This window comes from Homo sapiens, chromosome 5, assembly GCF_000001405.40.
Source record: "Homo sapiens chromosome 5, GRCh38.p14 Primary Assembly".
NCBI classification, from domain to species: Eukaryota; Metazoa; Chordata; class Mammalia; order Primates; family Hominidae; genus Homo; species Homo sapiens.
This window is the reverse complement of record NC_000005.10, coordinates 177,501,289-177,528,902: the sequence shown is the minus strand read 5'-3', so window position 1 is coordinate 177,528,902 and position 27,614 is coordinate 177,501,289. Positions and strand designations below refer to the sequence as shown.

The 27,614-nt window shown below is 56.2% G+C and overlaps 3 protein-coding genes across 41 annotated transcripts in view, besides 11 other annotated features; all 3 read left to right on the top strand.

Moving 5' to 3' along the window:
• Positions 1 to 9,115, top strand: part of FAM193B (family with sequence similarity 193 member B) — a 34,776-nt gene extending 25,661 nt beyond the window's left edge. For 13 of the 19 annotated variants that reach the window (XM_011534572.2, XM_011534579.3, NM_001190946.3 and 10 more), the window contains 4 exons: positions 3,698 to 4,718; positions 4,871 to 4,946; positions 6,832 to 6,929; positions 8,722 to 9,114. In XM_011534572.2, coding sequence (XP_011532874.1) covers positions 3,698 to 4,718; positions 4,871 to 4,946; positions 6,832 to 6,928 — 1,194 coding nt within the window. In that variant the 3' untranslated portion in view covers position 6,929; positions 8,722 to 9,114. Of the gene's footprint in view, positions 1 to 3,697; positions 4,719 to 4,870; positions 4,947 to 5,637; positions 5,745 to 6,831; positions 6,930 to 8,721 lie in introns of those variants that run through there. The other 6 variants (XR_007058608.1, XR_427804.3, XR_007058607.1 and 3 more) reach the window with 5 other exon arrangements.
• Positions 11,578 to 11,847: an enhancer, noted in NCBI's record as "active region_23728". NCBI's record gives its function as "activates an Ori minimal core promoter by ATAC-STARR-seq in GM12878 lymphoblastoid cells {active_cell/tissue: GM12878}" and the evidence as "EXISTENCE:reporter gene assay evidence [ECO:0000049][PMID:35858748]".
• Positions 11,876 to 12,700: an enhancer, noted in NCBI's record as "H3K27ac hESC enhancer chr5:176943204-176944028 (GRCh37/hg19 assembly coordinates)". NCBI's record gives its function as "activates a minimal SCP1, AML or CMV promoter by ChIP-STARR-seq in primed H9 embryonic stem cells {active_cell/tissue: H9 hESC(primed)}" and the evidence as "EXISTENCE:reporter gene assay evidence [ECO:0000049][PMID:30033119]".
• On the top strand, positions 11,942 to 17,326 carry DDX41 (DEAD-box helicase 41). 3 transcript variants are annotated; one of them, NM_016222.4, is made up of 17 exons: positions 11,942 to 11,984; positions 12,068 to 12,178; positions 12,456 to 12,615; positions 12,710 to 12,784; positions 12,914 to 12,974; positions 13,082 to 13,218; positions 13,645 to 13,717; positions 13,834 to 13,987; positions 14,066 to 14,202; positions 15,056 to 15,218; positions 15,419 to 15,550; positions 15,821 to 15,892; positions 16,027 to 16,123; positions 16,258 to 16,407; positions 16,510 to 16,581; positions 16,697 to 16,807; positions 16,976 to 17,326. In NM_016222.4, the coding sequence occupies exons 1-17, from the start codon at positions 11,958 to 11,960 to the stop codon at positions 17,110 to 17,112; spliced, it is 1,869 nt and encodes a 622-aa protein (NP_057306.2). In that variant the 5' UTR covers positions 11,942 to 11,957; the 3' UTR covers positions 17,113 to 17,326. The 3 variants fall into 3 exon arrangements, with proteins under 3 accessions (NP_057306.2, NP_001308759.1, NP_001308661.1); NM_001321830.2 differs by having other exon boundaries at positions 12,387 to 12,615; NM_001321732.2 differs by having other exon boundaries at positions 12,068 to 12,615.
• Positions 17,803 to 26,999, top strand: DOK3 (docking protein 3). 19 transcript variants are annotated; one of them, NM_001375799.2, is made up of 7 exons: positions 17,803 to 17,983; positions 18,322 to 18,360; positions 19,246 to 19,428; positions 20,361 to 20,666; positions 23,793 to 23,892; positions 23,988 to 24,160; positions 25,511 to 26,999. In NM_001375799.2, exons 3-7 carry the CDS (start codon positions 19,363 to 19,365, stop codon positions 25,856 to 25,858), a joined length of 993 nt encoding a protein of 330 aa, NP_001362728.1. In that variant the 5' UTR covers positions 17,803 to 17,983; positions 18,322 to 18,360; positions 19,246 to 19,362; the 3' UTR covers positions 25,859 to 26,999. The 19 variants fall into 19 exon arrangements, with proteins under 19 accessions (NP_001362728.1, NP_001362726.1, NP_001138347.1 ...); NM_001375797.2 differs by lacking the exons at positions 17,803 to 17,983; positions 18,322 to 18,360 and adding an exon at positions 18,502 to 18,615 and having other exon boundaries at positions 24,243 to 26,999; NM_001144875.2 differs by lacking the exons at positions 17,803 to 17,983; positions 18,322 to 18,360 and adding an exon at positions 18,502 to 18,643 and having other exon boundaries at positions 19,328 to 19,428.
• Positions 18,672 to 18,821: an enhancer, noted in NCBI's record as "active region_23727". NCBI's record gives its function as "activates an Ori minimal core promoter by ATAC-STARR-seq in GM12878 lymphoblastoid cells {active_cell/tissue: GM12878}" and the evidence as "EXISTENCE:reporter gene assay evidence [ECO:0000049][PMID:35858748]".
• Positions 18,952 to 19,091: a silencer, noted in NCBI's record as "silent region_16701". NCBI's record gives its function as "represses an Ori minimal core promoter by ATAC-STARR-seq in GM12878 lymphoblastoid cells {active_cell/tissue: GM12878}" and the evidence as "EXISTENCE:reporter gene assay evidence [ECO:0000049][PMID:35858748]".
• Positions 20,642 to 20,691: an enhancer, noted in NCBI's record as "active region_23726". NCBI's record gives its function as "activates an Ori minimal core promoter by ATAC-STARR-seq in GM12878 lymphoblastoid cells {active_cell/tissue: GM12878}" and the evidence as "EXISTENCE:reporter gene assay evidence [ECO:0000049][PMID:35858748]".
• Positions 20,712 to 20,821: an enhancer, noted in NCBI's record as "active region_23725". NCBI's record gives its function as "activates an Ori minimal core promoter by ATAC-STARR-seq in GM12878 lymphoblastoid cells {active_cell/tissue: GM12878}" and the evidence as "EXISTENCE:reporter gene assay evidence [ECO:0000049][PMID:35858748]".
• Positions 24,444 to 25,395: an enhancer, noted in NCBI's record as "H3K4me1 hESC enhancer chr5:176930509-176931460 (GRCh37/hg19 assembly coordinates)". NCBI's record gives its function as "activates a minimal SCP1, AML or CMV promoter by ChIP-STARR-seq in primed H9 embryonic stem cells {active_cell/tissue: H9 hESC(primed)}" and the evidence as "EXISTENCE:reporter gene assay evidence [ECO:0000049][PMID:30033119]".
• Positions 25,396 to 26,349: an enhancer, noted in NCBI's record as "H3K4me1 hESC enhancer chr5:176929555-176930508 (GRCh37/hg19 assembly coordinates)". NCBI's record gives its function as "activates a minimal SCP1, AML or CMV promoter by ChIP-STARR-seq in primed H9 embryonic stem cells {active_cell/tissue: H9 hESC(primed)}" and the evidence as "EXISTENCE:reporter gene assay evidence [ECO:0000049][PMID:30033119]".
• Positions 26,849 to 26,898: an enhancer, noted in NCBI's record as "active region_23724". NCBI's record gives its function as "activates an Ori minimal core promoter by ATAC-STARR-seq in GM12878 lymphoblastoid cells {active_cell/tissue: GM12878}" and the evidence as "EXISTENCE:reporter gene assay evidence [ECO:0000049][PMID:35858748]".
• Positions 26,919 to 26,988: an enhancer, noted in NCBI's record as "active region_23723". NCBI's record gives its function as "activates an Ori minimal core promoter by ATAC-STARR-seq in GM12878 lymphoblastoid cells {active_cell/tissue: GM12878}" and the evidence as "EXISTENCE:reporter gene assay evidence [ECO:0000049][PMID:35858748]".
• Positions 26,999 to 27,048: an enhancer, noted in NCBI's record as "active region_23722". NCBI's record gives its function as "activates an Ori minimal core promoter by ATAC-STARR-seq in GM12878 lymphoblastoid cells {active_cell/tissue: GM12878}" and the evidence as "EXISTENCE:reporter gene assay evidence [ECO:0000049][PMID:35858748]".

Below are 27,614 nucleotides of genomic sequence, written 5' to 3'. Positions count from 1 at the left end.
CCTGGCTCTCCCTTTCTACAGCTCAAGAAAAGCACATGAGTGAATCTGTGGCAGCCAGCCACGTGGGCTCCCGATTGCCGAGTTCCCGTGTCGCCAGGCGGGCCTCTCATGGTTCCCTGGGCTTCCTGTACCTTAGCACGTCCATTCCCCACAGTCCTTCTGTCAGGCCTCCAGTCTTCTCAAACCGCTAGGCCTTCCGAGCCCACACCTTATTTTTTGGCAAATAGCCTCACTTTTTATTTCAATGAGGAAAAAAGCCATTATACAGGGATTCTCCCACTGTTTTGCCATTCCCACCTGCAAACATACTTTCTTCCTTGTCATGAGAGTCACCCTTTTCCCGCCTAAGGCCTGTGCGGTACTTTCTTGACCCCTCAGCCCAGCAGCAGGCTCCTGGTCTAGCTTAGCCTCTCCTCCATGCTGTTCCCGTCCACATTTCATTGTGTCCACCATTCTCTTTTTTGGAAGCAAACTGCTCCTTGAGCCTGTTACCTCTCTCTCAACCCCTCCCCAGCCTCTTTCCTCTCATCACAGCCACACTTCTTGAAAAATGATGTCTGCATTCACTGTCTTCCCTTCCACCCATTAGCTCATTGCAGGCGGTTTTCTACCCACACCCTCTCCAGAGTCACCGGTGACTTTTTTGTTGCCAAATCCATCCTCCTCTGCTGTTCCTATCGTGTTAGTCCACTAGAGAATATCTGGCATTTGTGTTTGTCCTTTTCACACATTGTCTTTGGGCTCCTCTGTCCTCAGCCAGGCAGGAAAGGGCAAGGGGAGTGCCATGTTCTCCAGATGTCTTGCCTGCCCCTCTGACGTCCTTTCTGTCTCCTTTGTGAGCTCCTCGTCCTCCACTTGACCCTCCTTCATGGGGACATCTCCCTGGGAAAGAGATGCCATCTAGAAACAGCCCAATAGTGTTTCCTCCCCACCCTGTACATCCACGTCTCCAACTGCTACTGGACACCTCCTTGTGGACGTCCCACAGGTATCTCAGACTCTGCACATCCAAAGTTCAGCTTGTTGTCTTTCTCCGAACAGGCCTGCTTTCCCTTCTCTGTTGTCTGTCTAGTCAATGGCACCGCCTCCCACCCTGTTGCCTGAGCCGGAGCACTGGGCGCCCGCCTGGGGAGTGCATCATAGTGACCTGGAATAGCATGCCTGGAACTGGATCTCAGTTTGACACTTGGCTCTGCCACACTTGCTGTATGACATTGGGCAAATCACTTAACCTCTAAGCCTCAGTTTCTTCATCCATAAAATGAGAATAACAGAACCTAAGTCGTAGATTGTTGCAGGGATGAAATGGAGCGATGCATGGAAAGGTTAGGCAGAGTGCCTGGCACATGTGAGTTCTCAGGCAGTGGGGCTGCTGTGGCAGCCATAGTGGCCATCAATGTTTCTCTGACTTTTCTCATTCTGTCTCCCTACCCAGCACCAAAAGCCCTATCCATGCCACATCGCTGATAGCTCAGACCAGTCCACCGCTCTCCACCCTACTGCCACTACCTTAAAAGCCATCAGTGGCTGGACATTGCCCTCGGGCACAAACACTGTAGGGCCTGCAGGGCCCTTCACGATCAGCCCCTGCCAGCTTTATCTCTCAGCCTCTCCTTTCTGACCTTCCTGCCCACCTGCCCCACCCAACCCCCACATCCCCCAAAAAATCTGGGCTACAGCTATACCTCTGAATGATTTGCATTCCCAGAAGATACTGAGCTTTCCCATTTCCAGCCTTTCCACTTGCTATTCCTTCTCTCTAGAAAATGCTTGTCTCACTGCCTCCGGGATGATTCCACTCCCCATTCTGTGCTCAGTGCAGATCCTCCCACCTCCAGGAAGCACTCCCTGGTGAACCAGTCTGTGTTGGGAGCATCTCCTCTAGATTCCCAGATCACCCCGTGCTTTCTTCCATGCAGCACTTGTCACTGTCACTCTGAATTCAACAGGCTGTTTGCTGTTGTCTCCCTCAGCAGACTGAAGTCAGCGAGGCAGAGAATGTCTCACGTACGCTAAACTCACAGGGCCTGGCCTGCTGCCTCACAGCCTCAATGGTCGGTAAATGGTTGTCAGATGGAATTGAGAAACATAGGAACTTCTGAAGATCAGGCCTGGGTGTATTGTCCTGGCTCTGCCACTTCCTAGCCACCTCCTCCTCCTGTTCTTTCCAAAGTCGAGGTTTCTCACCTATAAGCAGAGGGTCATGATGCAGCAAAGACAGTGGCGAGGATTAAAGGAGACATCTATGGGAAGTGCTGACGGTACAGAGCAGAAAGTGTGTGTTTCTGTGCTTTCTCCTCTGGCTTCCAGAGTGTATATGGTTCCATATCATTCCCTCCACACCAGCAGTTGTCAAACTTTTTTTTTTTTAGCAGCCAAACTTTTCTGTGAAATCTGTGTGGTGCTGGGGGAGCGAGGTGAAGGGCCCTTGGTCCTCGTTGGTCCAACCCAGGGCCTCTGAGCCCTACTCACAGCTAGAAATGCTGCTGCAGCTGCTGCAGACCAAGCTGCTCCCTGAGGGCCACGAAGCCCAGCCCCACCTTCGCACATGGGAAAGGACCCCACACAGACTCTCAGCTGTCCTCATACTGACCCTGGAATGTAGAGATGCCTCTTCTTCCTAATTTACAAATAGGAAAAGTAAGGTTCAGAGAGAATAAGTGATTTGTCCAAGGTCCCACAGAACAATTGACTGTAGTCCATTGTGGAGCCAGGGTTCACAAAAGATAAGTGCCTGCTGGGACGCAGGGTCACCCTCTGTACATTGACTCCGAGGTGGTAGCAAGCCCTGGTTTCTCTCACCAGCTGCCCTTTCATGTTTCTCTTCCTCCATTCCCAAATCAGCTGGAAGTACAGGAGGCAGTGGGAGTCAATGGCGCCAGGCGCACCACAGCAACCTCCTTCCCGAGGGTTTTTTATCTGCCGCCTGTCTCCCTCTAAAGGCATCGTTGGCCTTGAGGTGGGATGGAGAGGTTGGGGTGACTGAGATCCCACAGACTTTCATTTTGATTCCCTAGATCCAGATCTGTCAAAGCCAACTGGCAGGGCCTGGCCTCTCTGAGCCTTCCAGGCCTCACCTGGGCAAAGGAGCAGCTCTCACATCTTGCTGTGTAGGCCAGTGTGTTTGTCCATGGTATGCCATTGGGCACACTCTAGGTGTGACCTTGATTACTTGAGACCAAATGTGCAGCAAGTGGCCTCTCTACGGGAACACCGCCCTCTTTGGTAACACCCAGACATAGCATCAGGAAGGCACATGCCCTCCCAACCAGAGTAATCTCATCTACCCCCACACCTGCCTCCTGTAAGACCCCGTGATGGCATGGCTTTTTCCCCACCACCCGTAGGGGTGGAGAGAATGCCTCTCTAGTAGTGGTCTTCACATGCATCCCCACTTTGGCTTTACTCCGGAATTATTGTCCCCATTTTGCAGATTAGTCCACTGAAACTGAGGCTCTGGGTGAACAAGCTGTAAAAACCCTACCCTCTGTGGGTGTGACTACCCCTGCCCCCAGGACATGTACCTGTCTGGCTGCAGTTTGCCCTCACTCCTGCAGGGTGGGTAAGCAGGCTAGGATTTTAAGGCTTTGCTTCCAGCAAGTTAGTGGCAAAGCTGGGCCCCAGGCTGATGGGTCAGGTATCACATTGTGCCTGGCAGTTGACAGCCTCCTGCTAAAACTGCCTCTTGCCTTGGCAGGAAAAGGAGAAGGCCCAGTTGGCAGCAGAAGCTCTAAAGCAGGCAAATCGTGTTTCTGGAAGCCGGGAGCCAAGGCCTGCCAGGGAGAGGCTCTTGGAGTGGCCCGACCGGGAACTGGATCGGGTCAACAGCTTCCTGAGCAGCCGTCTGCAGGAGATCAAAAACACTGTCAAAGACTCCATCCGTGCCAGCTTCAGTGTGTGTGAGCTCAGCATGGACAGCAATGGCTTCTCTAAGGAGGGGGCTGCTGAGCCTGAGCCTCAGAGTCTACCCCCCTCAAACCTCAGTGGCTCCTCAGAGCAGCAGCCTGACATCAACCTTGACCTGTCCCCTTTGACTTTGGGCTCCCCTCAGAACCACACGTTACAAGCTCCAGGCGAGCCAGCCCCACCATGGGCAGAAATGAGAGGCCCCCACCCACCATGGACAGAGGTGAGGGGGCCCCCTCCCGGTATCGTCCCCGAGAACGGGCTCGTGAGGAGACTCAACACCGTGCCCAACCTATCCCGGGTGATCTGGGTCAAGACACCCAAGCCGGGCTACCCCAGCTCCGAGGAGCCAAGCTCAAAGGAAGTTCCCAGTTGCAAGCAGGAGCTGCCTGAGCCTGTGTCCTCAGGTGGGAAGCCACAGAAGGGCAAGAGGCAGGGCAGTCAGGCCAAGAAGAGCGAGGCAAGCCCAGCCCCCCGGCCCCCAGCCAGCCTAGAGGTTCCCAGTGCCAAGGGCCAGGTCGCTGGCCCCAAGCAGCCAGGCAGGGTCCTAGAGCTTCCCAAAGTAGGCAGCTGTGCTGAGGCTGGAGAGGGGAGCCGGGGGAGCCGGCCAGGACCAGGTTGGGCTGGCAGTCCCAAAACTGAGAAGGAGAAGGGCAGCTCCTGGCGAAACTGGCCAGGCGAGGCCAAGGCACGGCCTCAGGAGCAGGAGTCTGTGCAGCCCTCAGGCCCAGCAAGGCCACAGAGCTTGCCCCAGGGCAAGGGCCGCAGCCGCCGGAGCCGCAACAAGCAGGAGAAGCCAGCCTCCTCCTTGGGTGAGTGCACCAGGAACTGAGCGGCTGACCCCCTACCCCAGCCAGTCCACGGGGTGGAGGGGCAGCCTTTGTGTGTAGACAGCGCTGCCCCCAGAGCATAACCCCAAAGGCCTGGCCATGGGCACTGAGCCCTCCTGGCTGTGTCTTCCTAGACGATGTGTTCCTGCCCAAGGACATGGACGGGGTGGAGATGGATGAGACTGACCGAGAGGTGGAGTACTTTAAGAGGTAGGTGTGGGCTGCCTGCTCTCCCACTTGTGGAGGACTCCAGGTCCTGCCCACACTCAAGCCCTGTGTTGTGCCTCAAGCCTCAGAAAGGCCTGCTCCCTTGGCCCTGACCCCTTGGGGAGGCTCACCGCCCCCCCAGGCCCTCTCCCACCAGCCTGCCTGCTGAAAACCCACGGAGCCACTGGGCAGGATGGCACATCTGGGAAGGTGCAAGAGATAGGAGGAGGCATGTCAGGCCCCAAGAACCAGGGCTTTTTCCAGCTTTATTTGCTTTGTGTCTTCACTTGCACATTCTCTGCTTTGCCTGGGCTGAGGTCAATGAAGCAGTCTAGACCAGGAGTCTGGCCATGAACATGCAGCCTACTGATAAATGGCATAGAGTTGGGGAGGATAGAAGGGGTGGGGGCTGGCCAGGAGGCCTTCCCAGGAGAGGTGGTAACCAAGTTGAAACCTGAAGAGTAAGAATGAGTTGGCCAGATAAGATGAAAAGGTATTCATGCCAAGGGGGCCAGTGAGTACAAAAGATTAGGGTGAAAGAAACACGGCATACAGTCACCCTCCATATCTGCAATCAAAAATATTCAGGAAAAAAAACAAAACACAAAAAATAGCAATACATTACTAAATAATGCAAATTTTTTAAAAATTAGTATTTTTGGCCAAGCGCGGTGGCTCATGCTTCTCATCCTAGCACTTTGGGAGGCCGAGGCGGGTGGATCACCTGAGATCAGGAGTTCAAGACCAGCCTGGCCAAGTTGGTGAAACCCCGTCTCTACTAAAAATAGAAAAATAAGGCAGGTATGGTGGCACGTGCTTATAATCCCAGCTACTCGGGAGGCTGAGGCAGGAGAATCGCTGGAACCTGGGAGGTGGAGGCTGCAGTGAGCTGAGATTGGGCCACAGAACGAGACTCCGTCTCAAAAAAATACGTATTTTTACAGGTGGTGGCTCATGCCTGTAATTTCAGCACTTTGGGAGGCCAAGGCAGGCGGATCACTTGAGGTACTTGAGGTCAGGAGTTCTAGACCAGCCTGGCCAACATGGTGAAACCCTGTCTCTAATAAAAATACAAAAATTAGCCGGGCGTGGTGGCGGGCGCCTGTAATCCCAGCTACTTGGGAAGCTGAGGCAAGAGAATCGCTTGAACCTGGGAGTCAGAGGTTGCAGTAAGCCAAGATTGTGCCATTGCACTTCAGCCTGGGTAACAGAGTAAGACTCTGTCTCAAATAAATAAAAATAAAAATATAATAACTACATAGCATTTACATTGTATTAGGTATTTTAAGTAATCTAGAGATGATTTAAAGTATGTGGGAAGGCCAAGCACAGTGTCTCCCACCTGTAATCCCAGCACTTTGGAAGGCCAAGGTGGGAGGATCACTTGAGCTCAGGAGTTCAAGACCAGCCTGGGCAATATAGTGAGACCCTATCTCTTATTTAAAAAAAAAATAGTAATTTTAAAAAAAAGTATATGGGAAGAGCAGTGCAGGTTTTATGCAAATACTACACCATTTTTATATAAGGGATTTGTGCATCTGCAGAGTTTGGTATCTGGGTAACTAATCCCCAGCAGATTCAGAGGGACGACTGTACTTAAGGGAATGACGGAAGCCAGCCTAGCAGAGCTAGAGAATCAAACACCAGATGAGGAGGAACTGGAATCCCAAGGCAGTTTCACTGTCTTCATACATAGTTCCCTGGGCCCAATCCAGAAGCCCCCAAGCCAGCAAAGCTCCTATGCCTGCTAAACCCTAGCACCTGAGAGCCAAAGAGGTTTTGTAGAGAACCTGGTCTCTTAGTGATGGGGACATGGTACCTTAGGAGTCCAGTGAGCAAAAGAATGAACCTCTGATTGTGCTTCTCATGTGTCCCCCAAACCCAACAGGTTCTGTTTGGATTCTGCAAAGCAGACTCGTCAGAAAGTTGCTGTGAACTGGACCAACTTCAGCCTCAAGAAAACCACTCCTAGCACAGCTCAGTGAGGTACAGAGACCCCAAGAGTTACATCCACTGCCTCTCCCTGTGCTTGGCCACCCTCTCTGTACGCTCACCAGACCATTCTGTGCTCTGGGGCACAGGGAGTTGGACTTGGGGCATGGGATCCCTGGCTTCTGTCTGCATCTTCACAGCAATGGCAGGCTACAGCCTCCAAAGGTCAAGGCCCCATCTCCTCCCGCAGCCACTCACCTGTAGGCCTCTGTTCTATTACTCCTCCCTGGGCCCTGCTGCCCATGCTCCTGAAGGTCCCCTTCCTGGACTGGCATCTCCTAAGGCATAACCATCAGGGTCTTAACCAGCTGATTTCAAAAGTGCCCAGGTAGCCATCAGACCCATGGGGCTGCCCTCACCCCTGATGTTATCAGTCCTTGTGTCAAGTCCCACTTCCTGCCCTGGGCTCCTCAGTGTAGGCTACCAAGGTACTTCCCAGCTGAAGCAGTATAAGAAGGGGCCAGCCCTGAGTGAACATCGTGGGTCATTTAGGCATGGAGGAGTTGATGGGGGCTACCCAAAGCAGGGCAAGCTCCATGAGGATATTGGTAGCCACAGTGCCTCCTAGAGGAAGAGACCTGGGTGCCAGATGGCATTGGCATCCCCTCCCAGCCACCCACACAGGTCCTTTTGTCTGAAACAATGATGTACCAGATGATGATCTGGACTGGGAACAGACAACTGGAGAAGGCACTGGGCCTGGAACCCTATTGATGAAGAGAAGGGCAGCTAGCAGGCAGACCTTGGGCTGGGGGCTGAGTGGCTCTGCAGTTTCATATCTCAACCCTCAGCTGTGTCCCTGGGGTCAGGCCTTTTCCGGCTGGCAACCACACAGCTGTCCTGGAGACTGGAAGGCTGGGGCAGGCAGACTGAGCTCACAAACAACTCACTTCCCCCATGATGGCCCCACCTGTCTTTCTCCTCTTTCCAGTGCCAGGCCAGCTCCTCTCTGGGCCTAAGCAGCAAACTTCCTGGACCCTCAGCTCCCCAGGGGCAGCTCAGAGAGCCTGCAGCCAGGACAGCCTTCAGAGCTGGGGCTCCCTGTGACCCTTGTGCTGCCCCAGAGTCCAGACTGTCTTCTTTACACTCACTTTAGTCCTCCTCTCCTCTGAAGGGGTTGGGCTCAGTCAGCCCCCTTTGCCAAACTGAGATGCCCACAAGCCCCAGAAGTATCTTCCAGATCCAAGGTGGCCTCCTGCCTCTTCTCCACCTCCATGGGAACCAGGAGTAGCAGGAACCCCAGGCACTTCATCTGTTATCCCTACTGAGAGAAAAGAGATCGCATTTCCTCCCACAAGCCCAGTTCTGTCATTCAAGAAATCAAATGCAACTGTCTCCTTCCACTGCCTCCTCTTGACCCTTTTTCACCTGGTCTGGCCTCTTTTCCAAGATAGAAGATGCCCCTCTCCCCACCCCCTAGTAAGCGCTCTCCTTTGAGCCTCTTCACCCTCCCCCGGGCTGTGCACCTACAGTCAGAGGCAGGAGCACAGCTGCACAGCTGGCCTCCCAGCCCCTGCTGATGGACAGCAAGTGCCAAAGGCTGGATCTACTCAAGGATTGTCCCCCACCTTGTCAGGATCCTGGGACTGGGGCTCTGTCTCCCAACCCGTTAACCTGCATCCTCTGCTACAGGTGATCCAGGGAATCTTCAACATTTTCAGCCCAGGGAACAAAAATAGCAGCCAGCTGTTTCTGCTACCAGAGACCCATGGGTACCCAAGTGGCATGGGGAGGCTGGAGCATGGCTCATTGCTTACTGTGATTCTGCTCTTTTTTTCTTTCTCAGGCCCTGCCCAGGCTGAGCTGCTTCAGGGCGTCCTGAGGCCCTGACTGCCAGCTGAAGGCGTATAATTTTTCCCTCCGTGTGCCCCACCTACCCGTCCAAGACCCTCTGTGCTCCCCACCATCCTGGACCAACCAAAAGCTGAACGGATGCCACACTGTGCTGGGGCCCCTTGACCTCAGCAGAGCCGCTTCCTGGTGCTACGCAGCCTCCACACTCAGAGCCCGTGGACTGGGCTGGCCTAAGGGCCAGGGCTGATGGTACTGCTGGCCCAACACTGCTCTCTTTGTGTTTGGTTTTTTTGTTTTTGTTTTTATTTTGTTTTTTTCCAATTCTTTACTTTTGATACTGTGAAGATCTTTCGTGCCGAAAGATAAAGCAACATTTGGACACAGAGTTGGCATGTTGGTGATTTGTGGGTCTGGGCGGGGAGGGAGTTGAGGGTGTGCTCAGAAGCATGGGCTCTCCCTTAGTCACTAACCCTAGCATGCACCATGCATCAGCAGTTTGGTGCTATTGTCCCATTTTACAGGTGAGGAAACTAAAGCCGATAGGAAAGTGACTCAGCTCAACTTAGTCTGGCTGATTAGCATTGAGCGCAGACTGGTATGATTATGGCATCTGTGCCCTTTTCTCCTTTTGGGAGGTCTCTGGTATGTGAGCCTGGGGCAGCCCCTTCCCCACTCTTTCCTGTTTCCCTCTTTGCAAGATGGGTGAGTTGGAGGGGTTGAAGATGGTCTCTGTGCATCTGGATGTGAGAAGAGGTCTAGGAAAGACCCTGAGGCCTTCATGGATCTGTAGCCTGGGCCATCGAGGCCCCTCACACTGACTTCACAGTCAGGGGAAGTTGGGGGTAAATTGAGTTTTTTATAAATTAGATCTGATTTTCCAGTGGGGGTGGGACATGTAGCTGAGGGCTTGAGAGTTAAGAGGATAATGAACTCTTCTGTAAAGTCAAGCAAACTACCTCATCCCCCGAAATGGATCTGGTTTGTAAATTTGGATTTTAATACAATGAGTTTTCCCAAAATGCCCCTGACACACTTGTGTCCAAACTCCATGCCCCAAATTTAGTTTTCGCTCCTAAAACCAACTCGAGGTTATGTGGGGAGCTAACAGGGTCACTAAGAGCCATGTATTTGGGTGTTGTGAGCAGGACCAGAAACCATGTCCTCCATCCCTCCCAGGTTGAGACCCACCATGGGACTGGCAGTAAGCACCAGCTTATTTTTTTTATAGAGATGGGGTCTTGCTATGTTGTCCAAGCTGGTCTTGAACTCCTGGCTTCAAGCGATCCTCCTGCCTTGGCCTCCCAGAGAGCTGGGATTACAGGAATGAGCCACTGTGCCCAGCCTAAGCTTTCTTTACTAAAGAAGACTTCATGAATTCCTGTGTATCCTTCACATCCCAGCTAAGAGGCCATTGTACTGTGAAAACTATGACACTTCGAAAAGCGGTACCTTGTCTTAGGATCTTTCTCTTTAAGACCAGTTATCTGTCTATATTTCTAGTCTCAATCTACATAAGCTCCTCGCACACCAGGTATGTGTCTTGATTATCATCTGCTTGAGCGCAGTGCCAGCGCCCAGCACACACTCTTGAAGGCAAGAAAGCACAGAGCTGACCAAGTCATTCCTTAGAAGTCTCTAATAAAGTTGAAACCACTTACTCTGACAGTCACAGCAGGCATGCTCTGGTCGCAATCTCCTTTTCTGGCCTTAGGTCTGGCTTCCCCATCCCACCCTTGCCGCAATGCTGTTGCCTAGTGAATCTGTGTACTTGCACATCGCCAGACCTGTATTCCTGCAGCGCCCTGGCCCAGGACGCCTCTCCTCTCCCGGCCTGAGATTGCCATGTATTTGGGTGTTGTGAGCAGGACCAGAAACCATGTCCTCCTCCATCCCTCCCAGGTTGAGACCCACCATGGGACTGGCAGTAAGCACCAGCTTATTTTTTTTATAGAGATGGGGTCTTGCTATGTTGTCCAAGCTGGTCTTGAACTCCTGGCTTCAAGCGATCCTCCTGCCTTGGCCTCCCAGAGAGCTGGGATTACAGGAATGAGCCACTGTGCCCAGCCTAAGCTTTCTTTACTAAAGAAGACTTCATGAATTCCTGTGTATCCTTCACATCCCAGCTAAGAGGCCATTGTACTGTGAAAACTATGACACTTCGAAAAGCGGTACCTTGTCTTAGGATCTTTCTCTTTAAGACCAGTTATCTGTCTATATTTCTAGTCTCAATCTACATAAGCTCCTCGCACACCAGGTATGTGTCTTGATTATCATCTGCTTGAGCGCAGTGCCAGCGCCCAGCACACACTCTTGAAGGCAAGAAAGCACAGAGCTGACCAAGTCATTCCTTAGAAGTCTCTAATAAAGTTGAAACCACTTACTCTGACAGTCACAGCAGGCATGCTCTGGTCGCAATCTCCTTTTCTGGCCTTAGGTCTGGCTTCCCCATCCCACCCTTGCCGCAATGCTGTTGCCTGGTGAATCTGTGTACTTGCACATCGCCAGACCTGTATTCCTGCAGCGCCCTGGCCCAGGACGCCTCTCCTCTCCCGGCCTGAGATTGCCACGCTTCCCTGGAAGCGCCCCCCAGGCAGCTCTGTTAGAGCATTTACAGTAATAACCGTTTACATTTATACAGGGCCTCCCACTTCAAAACCACTGCCATCCGTATCTGATGCGTGCCCCACCAGTGAACGTATGTGTCACACAGGCGCAGTCAGGGAGGCAGGGTGTGTCGAGCGGTTTATCCCGCAACCCCGGCGTCCCCGGCAGGGATGAAAGCGCAGGGCCCACGCGAACTCGGCCCGCAGCTCCCGGCCCTAGAGGACGCACTGTCCGCCGGCAGGGGCGTGCCCAAGACGCCATGCTCTGGGAGAGGTTGGGCACCTGGCAGGCCGCCCCGACTCCGGATCAGCTGTCTCCGCTGCGTACGTCTTCCTCTTCCAATGGGCTTGGATTGAGCCTTCTAGCGCATATTCCAAGTCCTCCAATGTCCCACAATGCCTTGCAGCCGGTTTCGCCCTCGGTCCTGGCAACTGTCGCGTAACCACCCATGAAAGCGTCCATGCCTCGCCGTGCGATAGTATCTCCGGAACAAATTTGTCCCTCTGCGCGATCCGGAACTCCGAGGTCGTTCCTACGCGCCGTCGTTCGCCTCTTCACATCGGATTGGGTCTCACGCAAGGATGAGGCGGGGTTTCGCCGTGGCGCGCATGCGTGCAGCAAAGAATGGAGGAGTCGGAACCCGAACGGAAGGTAGGAGAGAGGCGAGACCCCGCGCGTGTGGGAGCGGGCGTGAAGAGGGGAGCAGGCCGTGCCTGACTGGCGTGTGCTTGCAGCGGGCTCGCACCGACGAGGTGCCTGCCGGAGGAAGCCGCTCCGAGGCGGAAGATGAGGACGACGAGGACTACGTGCCCTATGTGCCGTTACGGCAGCGCCGGCAGCTACTGGTGAGGGGCACGCGTCCGGGGAGGGATGGGGCCGTGACCGCGGGGTCGCAGGGGGCGGGCGTGGCCTCGGCCTCCGTGGGGAGGAGGGCAGTCTGAGGAGTGAGCTTCAGTACACCAGGGCGCGGCCCCCAGACAAACGAGGGACCGACGGCTTGATCTGAGGGGTAGGGCAGCTTTGCGCCTCGGGCACAGGATCCTCGCCCCAAAGCCAGGATCCTGACGCTGACCTTGTGGACTCCATGCCCATCCTATCTGTGGATCCCGGGTGGAACCTCAGCTCCAGAAGCTGCTGCAGCGAAGACGCAAGGGAGCTGCGGAGGAAGAGCAGCAGGACAGCGGTAGTGAACCCCGGGGAGATGAGGACGACATCCCGCTAGGCCCTCAGTCCAACGTCAGCCTCCTGGATCAGCACCAGCACCTTAAAGAGAAGGCTGAAGGTGGGCTGGGCAGCACTGCCTGGGCGAGAAAGAAGAAGCTGAGCCTGGTACACCGTTTTGGTATCTGTCTGACATCTTCCACTTCTTTTCTCAGCGCGCAAAGAGTCTGCCAAGGAGAAGCAGCTGAAGGAAGAAGAGAAGATCCTGGAGAGTGTTGCCGAGGGCCGAGGTATGGTTGTAGCCAGGATAGTGAGAAGGTGGACTGAGTCTTCTCCTCCCAGCCCCAGGCATGTTATATCTCAAGGGATCTGGCTTCTCAGAAGCAGGAGCCAGCCCTGAGCCATGTCTCTCTCTTCAGCATTGATGTCAGTGAAGGAGATGGCTAAGGGCATTACGTATGATGACCCCATCAAAACCAGGTATGTCTGTACAGTCTGCAGTTGCCCTTGCTTAGGATGGTACATGCAGGGATGCTCCCAGGCCAGCTATTCCCAGGGCTCTCTTGATCCCTGTTACCCATCCACAGCTGGACTCCACCCCGTTATGTTCTGAGCATGTCTGAAGAGCGACATGAGCGCGTGCGGAAGAAATACCACATCCTGGTGGAGGGAGACGGTATCCCACCACCCATCAAGAGCTTCAAGGAAATGAAGTTTCCTGCAGGTAGTCAGGGGCTGGAGAGAGATACCACACTTTTATAATCAAATGCCTGTGAGGTTATGTCCTGGCTCCCACTGAGCTCAGCCACATCTGCATTGGATCCAGTCACTGGGGCTGGAGGGATTTGAGGAGGAGTTTCTTTAGGTTCCTTGTTGCCTCAGCTGTACGTGTTCATTGTTCTCTGCTGTTACAAAGCTTCAGGAGGAAAGTGCCATTGGGCATAGACACTGGGTACAAATCCTGGCTGCACCTAGCCTGTGGGCCTTGGACAAGTCTCTTTTTTTCTTTTTTTTTTTCCACTCTCTCTCTCTCTCTCTGAGCCTCAGTTTCATCATCTGCAACTTGTAGGGGTAGTGCCAGTTTTACAGGCTTTGGGGCTCTGAGAAAGTACCTGTGAGTCATGAAGACGATGTCGGTTGGTTTTCATAGCCATCCTGAGAGGCCTGAAGAAGAAAGGCATTCACCACCCAACACCCATTCAGATCCAGGGCATCCCCACCATGTGAGTGTGGACTGTGGACCTGGGGTCCTTGAGGAGGGCTGGAACAGGGAGGAGCAATGGCTAGGTGTCCTTCATCTTCTGTTGAAATTGGCCCTCGGGTCATCCTCTCCCAACAGTCTATCTGGCCGTGACATGATAGGCATCGCTTTCACGGGTTCAGGCAAGACACTGGTGTTCACGTTGCCCGTCATCATGTTCTGCCTGGAACAAGAGAAGAGGTTACCCTTCTCAAAGCGCGAGGGGCCCTATGGACTCATCATCTGCCCCTCGGTAAGATAGGCTGGCCTGGAGGGCAGGCCAGAGATTGGGGCTGCCATCTGGTGCCAGCCTTTGTCCCTCTGCCTGCAGCGGGAGCTGGCCCGGCAGACCCATGGCATCCTGGAGTACTACTGCCGCCTGCTGCAGGAGGACAGCTCACCACTCCTGCGCTGCGCCCTCTGCATTGGGGGCATGTCCGTGAAAGAGCAGATGGAGACCATCCGACAGTGAGTGCTGGCGCTCCCTGCCCCCCACCTCTGCCACCTGCGAGTCTGTGGAAAAGCTAAAGGACCCTTTACCTTAGCCACTCCACAGATCTTCACAGAGGGCTGCTGTGAGTGCGACCCTCAAGGAGCTCCCAGTCTAATGGGGAGGTTAGTTGGGGGAGGACAGAGGGATGTGGCCAGGTACTGTGGGAGCACGGCAGATGGAATGGCCCACCTTGCTGGGGACATCTGGGAGGTGGGAGCTCAGAGAAGGCTTTTCCGGGAAGGTGACATTTGAATTGGGAAGAGGGGCAGTCCAGGCTGAAAGCACAGAGGCGGACGGCCCAGGAAGGTCAGGGTCATTCAGTGGTCAGTCAAGGAGGTTGAGGCACTGGGGTAGGGCTGGATCCCAGCGGCACCTGTGTCCTTTCAGTGCTGTGCAGTCCTCTGCAGACCACCAGAGGCCCTGGACCAGGCCCTCTGTTCACAGATGGGCCAGACCCCATCCCGGAGGCCTTCCTCCACGGACTTCTGAGTATTAGGGAGATGGTGAGCACAGAAAAGGTGAAGCCAGTGGGCCAGGAAAGCGAGCCCAGAGTAAAGCCTCTGGAGCTTGATGACAGCGCTTCTGGGTGAGAGGCTGACCCAGGAGAAGGGGGAAGGCGCGCCAGGCCGAGCGGTGGTGAAGATGGCTGCAGTGCCTTGGGAAAGAGCTGTGTGCTATACATAGGGCAGGTGGTGGGAATGATGAGAAGGGGACAGACAAAGAAATAGGAAGGAGGACAGAGAGCAGAGCAGATGCAGGGTGCCTGCTTGCCTCTAGATAGGTGATAGGCCAGTGGCCCCAACCTCAGGGTCTCTCCTTGGTCCCCAGCGGTGTACACATGATGGTGGCCACCCCGGGGCGCCTCATGGATTTGCTGCAGAAGAAGATGGTCAGCCTAGACATCTGTCGCTACCTGGCCCTGGACGAGGCTGACCGCATGATCGACATGGGCTTCGAGGGTGACATCCGTACCATCTTCTCCTACTTCAAGGTGCCGCCCCCGCCCGGCCAGGGCACCCTGCACCGCCCCCCACTGCACGCCACATCAGACTGCAGGGACCCCATGCCCCTGGCCACCCCAACCCACTGCTCATACTTTGTGGGCTGTGTCTCAGTTGCTCAGCTTCCCCAGACCCCATGCCCCTCAGCCCAGCCCTGTGTGCCCTTGGTCGCAGCCCCCCTCTTCCTCAGGGCCAGCGACAGACCCTGCTCTTCAGTGCCACCATGCCGAAGAAGATTCAGAACTTTGCTAAGAGTGCCCTTGTAAAGCCTGTGACCATCAATGTGGGGCGCGCTGGGGCTGCCAGCCTGGATGTCATCCAGGTGGGCAGGTGCTCCTGATGGGCGGTCTCTCACCTGTGGGGGCTGGATCTGACAAGTCTCCCTGAAGCTGATTGGAGCCGGGGGTCCACCTTGTGGGAACCGGGGGTTTCATTCAAAGCCCCTGACGCTTAACCAGGGCCATTTTTAGGGCACCAGCCCTTGGCGGCCAGAGGCTTCTGGTCACCTCCTGGTCCAGATGACGGGCCATGGCAGGGCTGTGGCGGGTAAGCCTAATCTCAAGATCACCTGACCTGATCTTTGTGGTGGCAGGAGGTAGAATATGTGAAGGAGGAGGCCAAGATGGTGTACCTGCTCGAGTGCCTGCAGAAGACACCCCCGCCTGTGAGTGCAGCCAGGCCAGGCCGGGGCCAGAGTCCCCAGGACCAGGGAGGGCTTTGGAGGGGACAGAGTGCCAGGGGAGGTGCGGTGGGTGCCCAGGCAGTTAGCCCCTGACTGGAGTTGGTCTTTCCGGACAGGTACTCATCTTTGCAGAGAAGAAGGCAGACGTGGACGCCATCCACGAGTACCTGCTGCTCAAGGGGGTTGAGGCCGTAGCCATCCATGGGGGCAAAGGTCAGGGTGGTGCAAGCACTGGCTTGGACCCTGCTGCAGTAGCAGTGCTTTACCTAATGCCTTCCCCTGCCTGGTTGGCCTGCCACTCCCCTGTCCCATGGTGGCTCTGACAGTGTCTGCCTGACCCTCCCCAGACCAGGAGGAACGGACTAAGGCCATCGAGGCATTCCGGGAGGGCAAGAAGGATGTCCTAGTAGCCACAGACGTTGCCTCCAAGGGCCTGGACTTCCCTGCCATCCAGCACGTCATCAATTATGACATGCCAGAGGAGATTGAGAACTATGGTAAGAGCCTGGGGCCCAAGGGCATGGGTTAGGCCGGAAAAGGGCCAAGCCAGGCCCCTAGTGTCCAGCGATGGGCCAGAGACTCTGTCCTTCTCTCTGCAGTACACCGGATTGGCCGCACCGGGCGCTCGGGAAACACAGGCATCGCCACTACCTTCATCAACAAAGCGTGTGGTGAGTCTGTTACCAGCGCCACCTTAGCTGTTCCCTGGGTCCCCTGCCTGTGGCCACCCAGGTTCTGGCCACAGAGCCCAGGATGGGCCCTGATGCTTCCCCACTCCTCCCCCAGATGAGTCAGTGCTGATGGACCTCAAAGCGCTGCTGCTAGAAGCCAAGCAGAAGGTGCCGCCCGTGCTGCAGGTGCTGCATTGCGGGGATGAGTCCATGCTGGACATTGGAGGTGACTGCAGAGCGGGATCCCCGAGTCCCCAGCCGGCAGGTGGCAAGGAGGGGTGCTGGAAGTCAGAAACGTGAAACCGGTGGACCGAGGGTGCCTAACGGGGGGCCCGAAGTCCAGGGCATGGATCCTGGTCCTTGACTTGGCTGACCCCTGTCCCCATTCCCCCAGGAGAGCGCGGCTGTGCCTTCTGCGGGGGCCTGGGTCATCGGATCACTGACTGCCCCAAACTCGAGGCTATGCAGACCAAGCAGGTCAGCAACATCGGTCGCAAGGACTACCTGGCCCACAGCTCCATGGACTTCTGAGCCGACAGTCTTCCCTTCTCTCCAAGAGGCCTCAGTCCCCAAGACTGCCACCAGTCTACACATACAGCAGCCCCCTGGACAGAATCAGCATTTCAGCTCAGCTGGCCTGGGATGGGCCAGGCTGGTCCTGGCTGCCTGTTCCCTGTGCTCTTCAGAATTACTGTTTTTGTTTCCTTTTACCCCAGCTGCCATTAAAGCCCAAACCTCTAGCCCAGCCCTGGCCCTGCCTCTGTGTTTCACCTCATCCGCCCCCTGGTTCCTGGACAGACGTCACCTCTGACCTCTGGAGCCCCTCTGAGGCAAGGCCCCAGCATCTCCCACTAGCACTGCCAACACCTGGCCTGCTGGTACTTGGCTGTGGAAGGAGCCACCGAGCTGGTGCCCGCCTCTGGGGACTCTGGGTCTCTCCACTGGGTTGTCTGAATTTATGACTCAAGGAGGGACCACATTGGCGGGCCAAGGAGAAGTGCTTGGATTCTCTGGTCTCCCTGGCCAGCTGTCATAGCTCTCAGGCCCACTCTTCCTGTCAGGGCTGTGATGTTTCAGGGACTTCTCCTGAAGCCCCTTGGGAGGCTGCTTCTTGCCTCAGGACCCCCACCCACTGCCTGCCTGTGCCAGCCACCTGGAGGGAGCCCTCCATTCCGTTGACTGAGGAGGCAGCAGATGTCATAGAACTGCCATTTAGGCCACAAGCTCTCCCTAAGCCTGCTCTGTGCCCAGCTCTGCTGAGCTGTGAGGACCTAGATGGGCCAGGGAGATGGCTGCCTGGGAAGCCGTCAGGCGAGGGGAGAGAAAGACGCACACGCAGAAACGTGGACGGCAGTCACAAGACCGCTAGCAGATGAGGCAGGATCTCAGCATCTGGTGAGAGGTAGGCAGGGACGGCACAGGCGGCCACACTTCCTCTGAGCCAGGCACTTTGCATGTATGGCCACATGCTCATTCCAGTGAGACAGCGGTTGCTCAAGCCATATTTGTCACTTGATATGTGGCATTGGGCAAGTTACTTAATTTTTCTGAGCACCGATTTCCTCACTGTTGAAATGGCGATGAGAACGCAAAGGATGTGGCGTCTGAGGTGGACGGAGCTTAGGGCTGCTTGGGCCACAGTGGGCACAGAGCTGGGTGCCAGGAGGCCTTCAGGACATATTTCCTGGCCAAGTGCATTCCCAAATGGCATTCCTTATCCTCTTCCATGTTCTCTCCCAGAGGTGGTGCTGAATGACCTGAGGCTGTTCCAGAATAAAGGTATACACACAGCCCCGCTATTGGCATCTTGCTAGGCAAGCCAACAAAAGGCGCCCCCAGCAGGAAGCAAAGCTTTAAATGAACATGTGACCTCTCCGGGGCCCCCTGGGACCTGCCACCCACACTCACGTGGTTGGGGCCATTCAGGGCTGTGGGTCCCATGTGGACTGGATGCCCAGCGTGAGTGTATACCGTGAGGGCCTTTGAGCTCTCGGACAGCGTGGAGTGGTCAAGGGAGGCCTCCAGGAGGAAGAGGTGGCCAACCGCCCCAGGCAGCACAGTGGTGAGGGGGCCCTGGAGGGGCTGGCCTGGGGGAGATGCAGGCCAGAACACACAGGTCCCTGAGTGTTGGGCTGAGGAGCCTGGGCTGCACCCCAGGAAGGGGAGAGACAGGTTGGTCTTGGGTTGTGGAGAGTGCTGCATGGAGGCCCAGTGGGGCAGTGGCCCCTGGGGGGATGCCAAAGGCTGGTGATGTTCAGTGGCTCGTGAGGTGGAGAGGAGCAGGTGAACACGAGAGAGATTTCAGGGAGAAAGAAAAGCAGCAAGATGGGGTGAGGCGCTCAAACCAGGACGCCGAGTGGGAAAGCCAGGAGTTGGCTAGAGAAGGGTCCTGGGTGGAGGCAGGGCCAGGGAGTGTCAGGCCCAGGGTGCGCAGCTGCCCGGGGCGGGACGGGGGAGGGGCGGGAACTCATGACTCGGGGAGCCAGACTGCGATCAGACGCGCGTGCCCAGCTGAACCAGGTGCGTGAGAAGGCTGCCTTCAGGTGGCCGGGGGCTCCCTCCAGGTAGGTGTGGGCACCTTGGGCAGCCAGAACCCCAGGGAGGAAATACATGCTGCCCCCAGCCCCTGAGCTGAAGACAGGCTCCCCTCCCCCCGGCCTGCAGCTGTCTCTAGACGGAGGGACGGGAAGTGGCCAGAAGGGGAAGTGTGAGGAGTTCCCGTCCAGCCTGTCATCAGTCTCCCCAGGTCTTGAAGCGGCGGCCCTGCTCCTGGCCGTGACCATGGACCCTCTGGAGACCCCTATCAAGGATGGCATCCTCTACCAGCAGCATGTCAAGTTTGGCAAGGTGGGGACCCCTGGCTGCCAGGCAGCTGCCAAGGACCAACAGTGGGTGGAGAATGCAGCCTCTGCCCCTGCCTCGGACAGCCCAGGCAGACCTGGGAGACTTGGGAAGGGAGTCAGGGTGGAGGATCCCACCCAGGTATGGGGAGTGGAATGGAGTGCGGGTGTCAGCCTGAGACGGCAGGGGCTGAGCAGGCTCTGCCAGACCCTGCCTCCGGGAGAGATGGGAAATACAGGAGTGGGAGAGGGTCGAAGGCTCAAACCTCCCAGCAGGGAAGAGCTTCACAGCCTCTGACCCATGAAATAGTGCCACCGAGGGCCCTAAATAGGGTGAGGGGCTGAGCTGGAGGAGGCCTCAAGGGTGGAGCCCCTCCCTGCAGCGGCACTGTCCTGGGAGCAAGGAGGCAGGGGGTCACCTCTCCTCGGCAGCAGCCCCACACCCCCGCAGCTCAGCTGCAGCTGCTGCCCAGGCAGATAAACCGTCAGTTTCCTTTGCTCGAAGCTATTTGCATGTTTCCTTCCTTAACAGCTTGAGGCAGAGGCCTCCCTCCCACCCCAGCTCTTGGCCTGTGGCCCAAGTGCCCCTTTTTGGGGGTGAGAGGGAACCAATATAATGGCAGTGTCTGGTGGTCTGCCCGGCCACTGGATGCTTTACAAACATGACCCAGTAGCAGTCCCAGCTCGAGTTCTCATGGCCTTTTGAGAGACGACATTGATGCTTGTGGAGGTCACAGTTAGGAAAGAGCGGGCTGGGATTTGAACCCAGGGCTGACCAATCCCAAGCATAGCCAAGGCCTCCTTACCTGGCTCCCTGAGAAACTGGGGAGCAGAGGCCCGCTCCTGGCTGGGAGCGTTTGCCGAGCAGCTTGTGCTGAGCCAAGTGGCACGGACAATCTGCCACCCAAGGGTCTTCACCCTCCCGCTCCCCTCCCGCAGAAGTGCTGGCGGAAGGTGTGGGCTCTGCTGTATGCAGGAGGCCCATCAGGCGTGGCACGGCTGGAGAGCTGGGAGGTCCGGGATGGTGGCCTGGGAGCAGCGGGTGACAGGTCGGCAGGGCCTGGCCGGCGAGGGGAGCGACGGGTCATCCGCCTGGCTGACTGTGTGTCCGTGCTGCCGGCTGACGGCGAGAGCTGCCCCCGGGACACCGGTGCCTTCCTGCTCACCACCACCGAGCGAAGCCATCTACTGGCTGCTCAGCACCGCCAGGCCTGGATGGGCCCCATCTGCCAGCTGGCCTTCCCGGTGAGTGCGGCGAGCAGGGGGGCGATTGGGCTGGGGCACCTGCCCCCGACTTGTCCACCTCCACGCTCACATCCCATCACCCAGCAAGCTCCACCGAGCACCTACAAGCCTGGGAAAAGTAAATCTATAATGACTCTCAGAGGGCCGTGCGTGCCATGGAGAAAATGGACCGCCAGGGGAGCAGGAGGAAGTGAGGGAGCGACGGGCAGGGTGGCCAGGGAAGGCCTCTCAGAGGAGGGCCCTGAATGACAGGAACCCACTGGGCAAAGGTCTGAGGACAGGGGCAGCCTGGGGAGTTGTGAACAGAGGGAGTCCCGTGGGCAGAGGCCCCGAGGCCGGACAGTGTGGGGTGTTTAAGGGCAGAAAGAAGGCGACGTGGCTGGAAGGAAAGGAGTGCAGGAGGAAGCCAACTCACAGAGCTTAGGAGAGCGGCTGAAATGCCCTAGGCCATGTGTGTGGTTTTGTTCTGAGTGAGAGGCGAAGGCTTTGGAGGGTTTAAGCCGGACATGTTTGTAAAGCCCCAAAAGGTCTGTGATGGGTCAAAAGGAAGTGAGCCTGGGGGTTCTTCAAAGAGGTAAACAGAGTTACCATGTGGCCCACAGGTCCACTCCTAGGTGTGTGCCCAAGAGAACTTGAACAGGTGTTCAAACAAAACATGTACATGTGAGGCAGGAGGATCGCATGAGCCCCAGAGGTCGAGGCTGCAGTGAGCTGTAATCGTGCCACTTCACTCCAGCCCGGGAGACAGAGCAAGACCCTATCTTAAAAAAAAACCCACATGGACATGAACGTCCATAGCAGCACTACTCACAGCCACCAGAAGGTGGAAACAGCCTACATGGCCATCAGCTGACAAATGGATAAGCAAAACGTGGTCCGTCCGCAAGATGGAATACTACTCAGCCATAAAAACAAACAAACGCCTGGCACAGTAGCTCTTGCCTGTAATCTTAGCACTTTGGGAGGCTGAGGTAGGAGGATTGCTTGAGCCTAGGAATTCAAGATCAGCCTGGGCAACATAGTGAGACCCTGTCTCAAAAAAAAAAAAGAAAAGAAGAAAGAAAGAAATGTACAGACAAGGTAACTCCATTGGGATAGAAATCAGATGAGTGTTGGCAGGAGCTGGAGGAAGGGAGAAGTGGGGAGTGGCTGCTCATGGGTACAGGGCTTCCATGTGGGATGATGGAAAAGTTCTGGAACTAGACAGTGGCAACAGTGCACAGCCTTGTGAGTATACTAAAAAGCACTGGTGGCCGGGTGCGGTGGCTCAGGCCTATAATCCCAGCACTTTGGGAGGCCGAGGCGGGCGGATCACCTGAGGTCAGAAGTTCGAGACCAGCCTCAACATGGAGAAACCCCGTCTCTACTAAAAATACAGAAGTAGCTGGGCATGGTGGTGCATGCCTGTAATGCCAGCTACTCGGGAGGCTGAGGCAGGCAGAATTGCTTGAACCTGGGAGGCAGAGGTTGCGGTGAGCCGAGATCATGCCATTGCACTCCAGCCTGGGCAACGAGAGCAAAACTCCGTCTCAAAAAAAAAAAAAAAAAAAAGAAAAGAAAAAAAAGAGCACTGATGATACACTTTAAGATGTAAAATGGGCCGGGCGTAGTGGTTCACACCTGTAATCCCAGCACTTTGGGAGGCCGAGGCAGGCGGATTACCTGAGGTCAGGAGTTCGAGACCAGCCTGGCCAACATGGTGAAACCCTATCTCTACTAAAAAAAAATTACAAAAATTAGCTGGGTGTGGTGGCACACGCCTGTAATCCCAGCTACTACTTGAGAGGCTGAGGCAGCAGAATTGCTTGAGTCTGGGAGGCAGAGGTTGCAGTGAGCTTAGATCGCACCACTGCATTCCAGCCTGGCCGACAGAGCAAGACTTTGTCTCAAAAAAAAAAAAAAAAGTAAGATGGTTAAAACAGTAAATTTTATGTTCTCTGTATTTTATCATATTTTAAAAATCAAAAAACAAAAGGCAGTTGAGGTTAGGCATGGAGGTTCGTGCCTGTAATCCCAGCACTTTGGGAAGCCGAAGCACGTGGATCACCTGAGGTCAGGAGTTCGAGACCAGCCTGCCCAATATGGTAAAACCCTGTCTCTACTAAAAATACAAAAAATTAGCCAGGCATGGTGGTGGGCACCTGTAATCCCAGCTACTTGGGAGACTGAGGCAGGAGAATCACTTAAACCCGGGAGGCGGGCTGGGCGCGGTGGCTCATGCCTGTAATCCCAGCACTTTGGGAGGCCGAGACAGGCGGATCATGAGGTCAGGAGATCGAGATCATCCTGGCTAACATGGTGAAACCCCATCTCTACTAAAAATACAAAAAAAATTAGCCAGGCCTGGTGGCGGGCACCTGTAGTCCCAGCTACTTGGGAGGCTGAGGCAGGAGAATGGCGTGAACCTGGGAGGCGGAGCTTGCAGTGAGCCAAGATCGCGCCACTGCACTCCAGCCTGGGCGACAAGAGTGAGACTCCATCTTAAAGAAAAAAAACAAACCCGGGAGGCGGAAATTGCAGTCAGCCGAGATCTCGCCATTGCACTCAAGTATGGGTGACAGAGCAAGACTCCATGTCAAAAAAAAAGGCAGTTGACAGGAGCAAGGAGCCTGGTGAGGAAGCTGTGGCATTTGACCCGGCTGTGTTGCTATGGGCCAGGGTGGTGCTAGTAGAGGAGCTGAGTGGGAAAGAGCACAGGGGACATGCTGAAGGCCTGGGTGTGGGGATGAGGCAGAGATTGGGGGCACCTTGCAGGGTCATAGCAGGTGGCTGTGGTGAGATGGAGGAAGACACCTGGGGTACTGCTCTAGGCTGTCAGACATACAGAAGCTGGCCCAGCCAAGCCCAGGGGCTGCAAGGGACATCCTTTTGTGTCCCCAGTGATCTGCAGCTCTCAGACACCCTCAAGCACAGTGCCTCTTGCCCAGCCCAGCACTCTCAGTGGGGAGCCAGGTGGGAGAACAGGCTCGGAAGGGGACCTAGGCTTATGCAGCGAGCCGGGCAAAGCTGGAACTGGAGCCCAGGCCCCTGGATGCCCCCTGGCTTGTGGAGTTCTGGGATACTGAGGGGAGGGGACAGGGCATGGGAGTGCGGTGCTCTCACCTTTGACTTGAACTCATTCCCCAGGGGACAGGGGAGGCCTCCTCAGGATCCACAGATGCCCAGTCTCCCAAGAGGGGCCTGGTCCCCATGGAGGAAAACTCCATCTACTCCTCCTGGCAGGAAGGTAAGTTGGAGGACGTGCAAGGGCAGCCTCAGCCCCCCACACCCAGGGCTGGGTCTTTTTGGGACTGACGGAGCTGTCCTGGCCACCTGCCACAGTGGGCGAGTTTCCCGTGGTGGTGCAGAGGACTGAGGCCGCCACCCGCTGCCAGCTGAAGGGGCCGGCCCTGCTGGTGCTGGGCCCAGACGCCATCCAGCTGAGGGAGGCCAAGGGCACCCAGGCCCTCTACAGCTGGCCCTACCACTTCCTGCGCAAGTTCGGCTCCGACAAGGTGAGGTGCAGGGGTGGGAAAGGGTGAGGGGCTGACACCCTGGACCCTCCTGCTAATCCCCACCCGTGTGCCCTGTGCCCAGGGCGTGTTCTCCTTTGAGGCCGGCCGTCGCTGCCACTCGGGTGAGGGCCTCTTTGCCTTCAGCACCCCCTGTGCCCCTGACCTGTGCAGGGCTGTGGCCGGGGCCATCGCCCGCCAGCGGGAGCGGCTGCCAGAGCTGACCAGGCCCCAGCCCTGCCCCCTGCCACGGGCCACCTCTCTGCCCTCCCTGGACACCCCCGGAGAGCTTCGGGAGATGCCACCAGGACCTGAGCCACCCACGTCCAGGAAAATGCACCTGGCCGAGCCCGGACCCCAGAGCCTGCCGCTACTGCTAGGCCCGGAGCCCAACGATCTGGCGTCCGGGCTCTACGCTTCAGTGTGCAAGCGTGCCAGTGGGCCCCCAGGCAATGAGCACCTCTATGAGAACCTGTGTGTGCTGGAGGCCAGCCCCACGCTGCACGGTGGGGAACCTGAGCCGCACGAGGGCCCCGGCAGCCGCAGCCCCACAACCAGTCCCATCTACCACAACGGCCAGGACTTGAGCTGGCCCGGCCCGGCCAACGACAGTACCCTGGAGGCCCAGTACCGGCGGCTGCTGGAGCTGGATCAGGTGGAGGGCACAGGCCGCCCTGACCCTCAGGCAGGTTTCAAGGCCAAGCTGGTGACCCTGCTGAGTCGTGAGCGGAGGAAGGGCCCAGCCCCTTGTGACCGGCCCTGAACGCCCAGCAGAGTGGTGGCCAGAGGGGAGAGGTGCTCCCCCTGGGACAGGAGGGTGGGCTGGTGGGCAAACATTGGGCCCATGCAGACACACGCCTGTGTCCACCCTGGCCTGCAGGAACAAGGCAGGCCGCCTGTGGAGGACCTCAGCCCTGCCCTGCCCTCCTCATGAATAGTGTGCAGACTCACAGATAATAAAGCTCAGAGCAGCTCCCGGCAGGGGCACTCACGGCACACGCCCCTGCCCACGTTCATTGCGGCCAACACAAGCACCCTGTGCCGGTTCCAGGGGCACAGGTGACCTGGGCCTTACCTGCCACCCGTGGGCTCAAACCCACTGCAGCAGACAGACGGGATGGAAATCATTAGGACTCCATGTTGCTCTGCACGGCCGAGTGACACGAAGAGGCAGGCGGAGGGAGCTGTGAGGCTTACTTGTCAGACTCAGGAAGGAGCAACATGAGGGCCCAACTGGAGACCCGGAGGCCCGAGCTGGGAGGAGGCAGTGGGGGCGGGGTGCAGGTGGAAGGGATTTCAGAGACACCCTCGTCCAAAACACTTGTTCCCTGCTGAAACTCCAACAATTTGCAGATACTTCTGGGAACCCCAGGCGTCAGTCTCCTCATCTGTAAAGGAGAGAGAACCGATGACGTATCAGGCATAATCCTTGATGAGAGTTTGCTGCGTGCCTACTCAGTGCCAGGCGCTGGGGGACACAGCCGTGTTCAGGACAGCCTTGGTCCTGTTCTCCGGGAGCCGACATTCCAGGGGGAGAGAAGTTTCCTGAAGACTTCCATGCTGCGTTCCCTCCTCTGCTCCTGCTCCTGGCGCCATCCTAGGAGCCAGCCACGCACGCAAGCGTCATGCCTCCAGGGCTCTGACTGCCCAGCCCCTCACCGCAACTCCACCTCAGCTGCACACACCCTTGGCACATCCTGAACCTCATTTTCATGACGGACACACAATTTTTGCTCTCTCCTGTCCAAGCCTCATCCTCTGGCCGCCACCTCCTTCCAGCTCACTTCCTTTAGTGCGGCCAGTACCGCCCCTGCCTAGGCATGTCGACCTGCAGGGACCCTTTTCTGGCTCTTCGAGGCCTCTGCCCACCATCCCCTCTTTGTTCTCCATAGTCCCTTCCCCCTGTTCTCTCTCGTTTCATCTTACTGGTCTGGCAAAGTCCCCGGCCTTGGGCGAGCCCAGACCTCCTCAGTGCCTGCACACAGCTGCCCACAGCCAGAGAAATCCATTTAAGCAGACTGCCTGCATCCTTCTTAACAGTGCAAGGCAGGCACTCCCTGCCACAAGAGACCCTGTTCCCTAGTAGGGCAGCTTTTCTCCTCCCCAGAACCTCCTGTCTATCCCCACCCAATGTCTCCTCACAGGCATATTGGGGAAACAGGTCGGGCTCTCCCACCGTATCTGCAAGTGTACTGGCATCCATCTGTCTTCTTCCTACCCCTACAGTAGAAACAGTGTCTGTCCCCAGCTGTGCTCTGATCCCGGCTCCTTTCACCTCAGAGCTTGGAAAATTGAGCTGTCCCCACTCTCTCCTGCGCCCATTCATCCTACCAGCAGCTTTTCCAGCCACACGCAAACATGCTCTGTAATTTCACATTTTAAACCTTCCCTTGACCTCACATTCCTCTTCGGCCACCTCTGTTTCTCTGTTCCTCTTCACAGCAAAAACTGTTCAAAAGAGTTGTTGATTACTTTCATTTCCACTTTCTCACCCCCATTCTCCCCTCAATTAACTCTCCTTCATCCCCATGATGCCATTATGTGGCTTTTATTAGAGTCACCAACCTTATTCTCCAAAACAAAAGCAACAAGGACTTTGACTTCTCAGCAGCACTCGGCTCTGGTTCTTGAAACACCCCCGTTACTTGCTATTCCTCCTACCTCATAACAATCTCCTTCCCAGCCTCTACTGCTGCCTTCTCTGAGTTCTTCCCAGGGTCCTAGGCTCAGATGTAGTGTAGCTCAACCCTGCTACACAAAGAATCTCCTGAAAGCCTGTAAAAATGTCCATGCATGTTCTGTGAGTGATCTACCAAGAAAATAAAAAATTTTAAAAATCAAATGCCCATGCCTGGGCCCACACGCAGGGGCTCTGATTTCATCAGTCTGGTAGGTGGGTTCTGGGCATCCACGCTCACTGGATTTCCGGATGATTGTAGTATGCAGCCTAGGCTGGGAACCACTGGCCTCAGCAAGCCAGTCATTCTCCAGGTGTCACAGACCCTCTAGGTGCTAATGACCCCGAAGGTCTGTCTTCAGTGCACACCTCCCCCTGAGCTCCAGATTTAGGAATCCCACTGCACACGAGACATCTGGATGTGGAAAAGACATCTCCAGATCCCATGGGTGAAAGGGGGTTGGGGGAATGGAGACTCTGGTGTTCTTCCAGGATGTGTGTGGACACAGAATGCAAAGCCTGGAGGGATGCTAGAGCCATAGGGAGGAAGATTTTGGCTCACTTATTCATGCAAGCACTTCCTGATGGGTAAGGTCTTAGAGCAAGCTGAGGCCAAGAGGCGGGCAGTCGAGGTGCTGCTGCAGGCACCCCCACTCCCTACAGTGGCAAGCCCAAGCCCAGCCCTTGGCAGCTCAAATCCCAGGACACGCTGAAGGTCACCCAGAGAGTCAGGGGCATGGCTAGAACCAGAACCCAGGACTCTGGGGACCCAGCATGGCA

Bases quoted from the DNA above. Each gene is read 5' to 3' on its own strand.
- DOK3 (NM_001375797.2), top strand. From the start codon at position 19,363: ATGGACCCTCTGGAGACCCCTATCAAGGATGGCATCCTCTACCAGCAG. The intron at 19,429-20,360 runs GTGGGGACCCCT...CCCCTCCCGCAG, and splicing joins AGCATGTCAAGTTTGGCAAG to AAGTGCTGGCGGAAGGTGTG. The intron at 23,893-23,987 runs GTAAGTTGGAGG...CACCTGCCACAG, and splicing joins CTACTCCTCCTGGCAGGAAG to TGGGCGAGTTTCCCGTGGTG.
- DDX41 (NM_016222.4), top strand. From the start codon at position 11,958: ATGGAGGAGTCGGAACCCGAACGGAAG. The intron at 12,975-13,081 runs GTATGTCTGTAC...ACCCATCCACAG, and splicing joins GATGACCCCATCAAAACCAG to CTGGACTCCACCCCGTTATG. The intron at 15,551-15,820 runs GTGGGCAGGTGC...TTGTGGTGGCAG, and splicing joins CCAGCCTGGATGTCATCCAG to GAGGTAGAATATGTGAAGGA.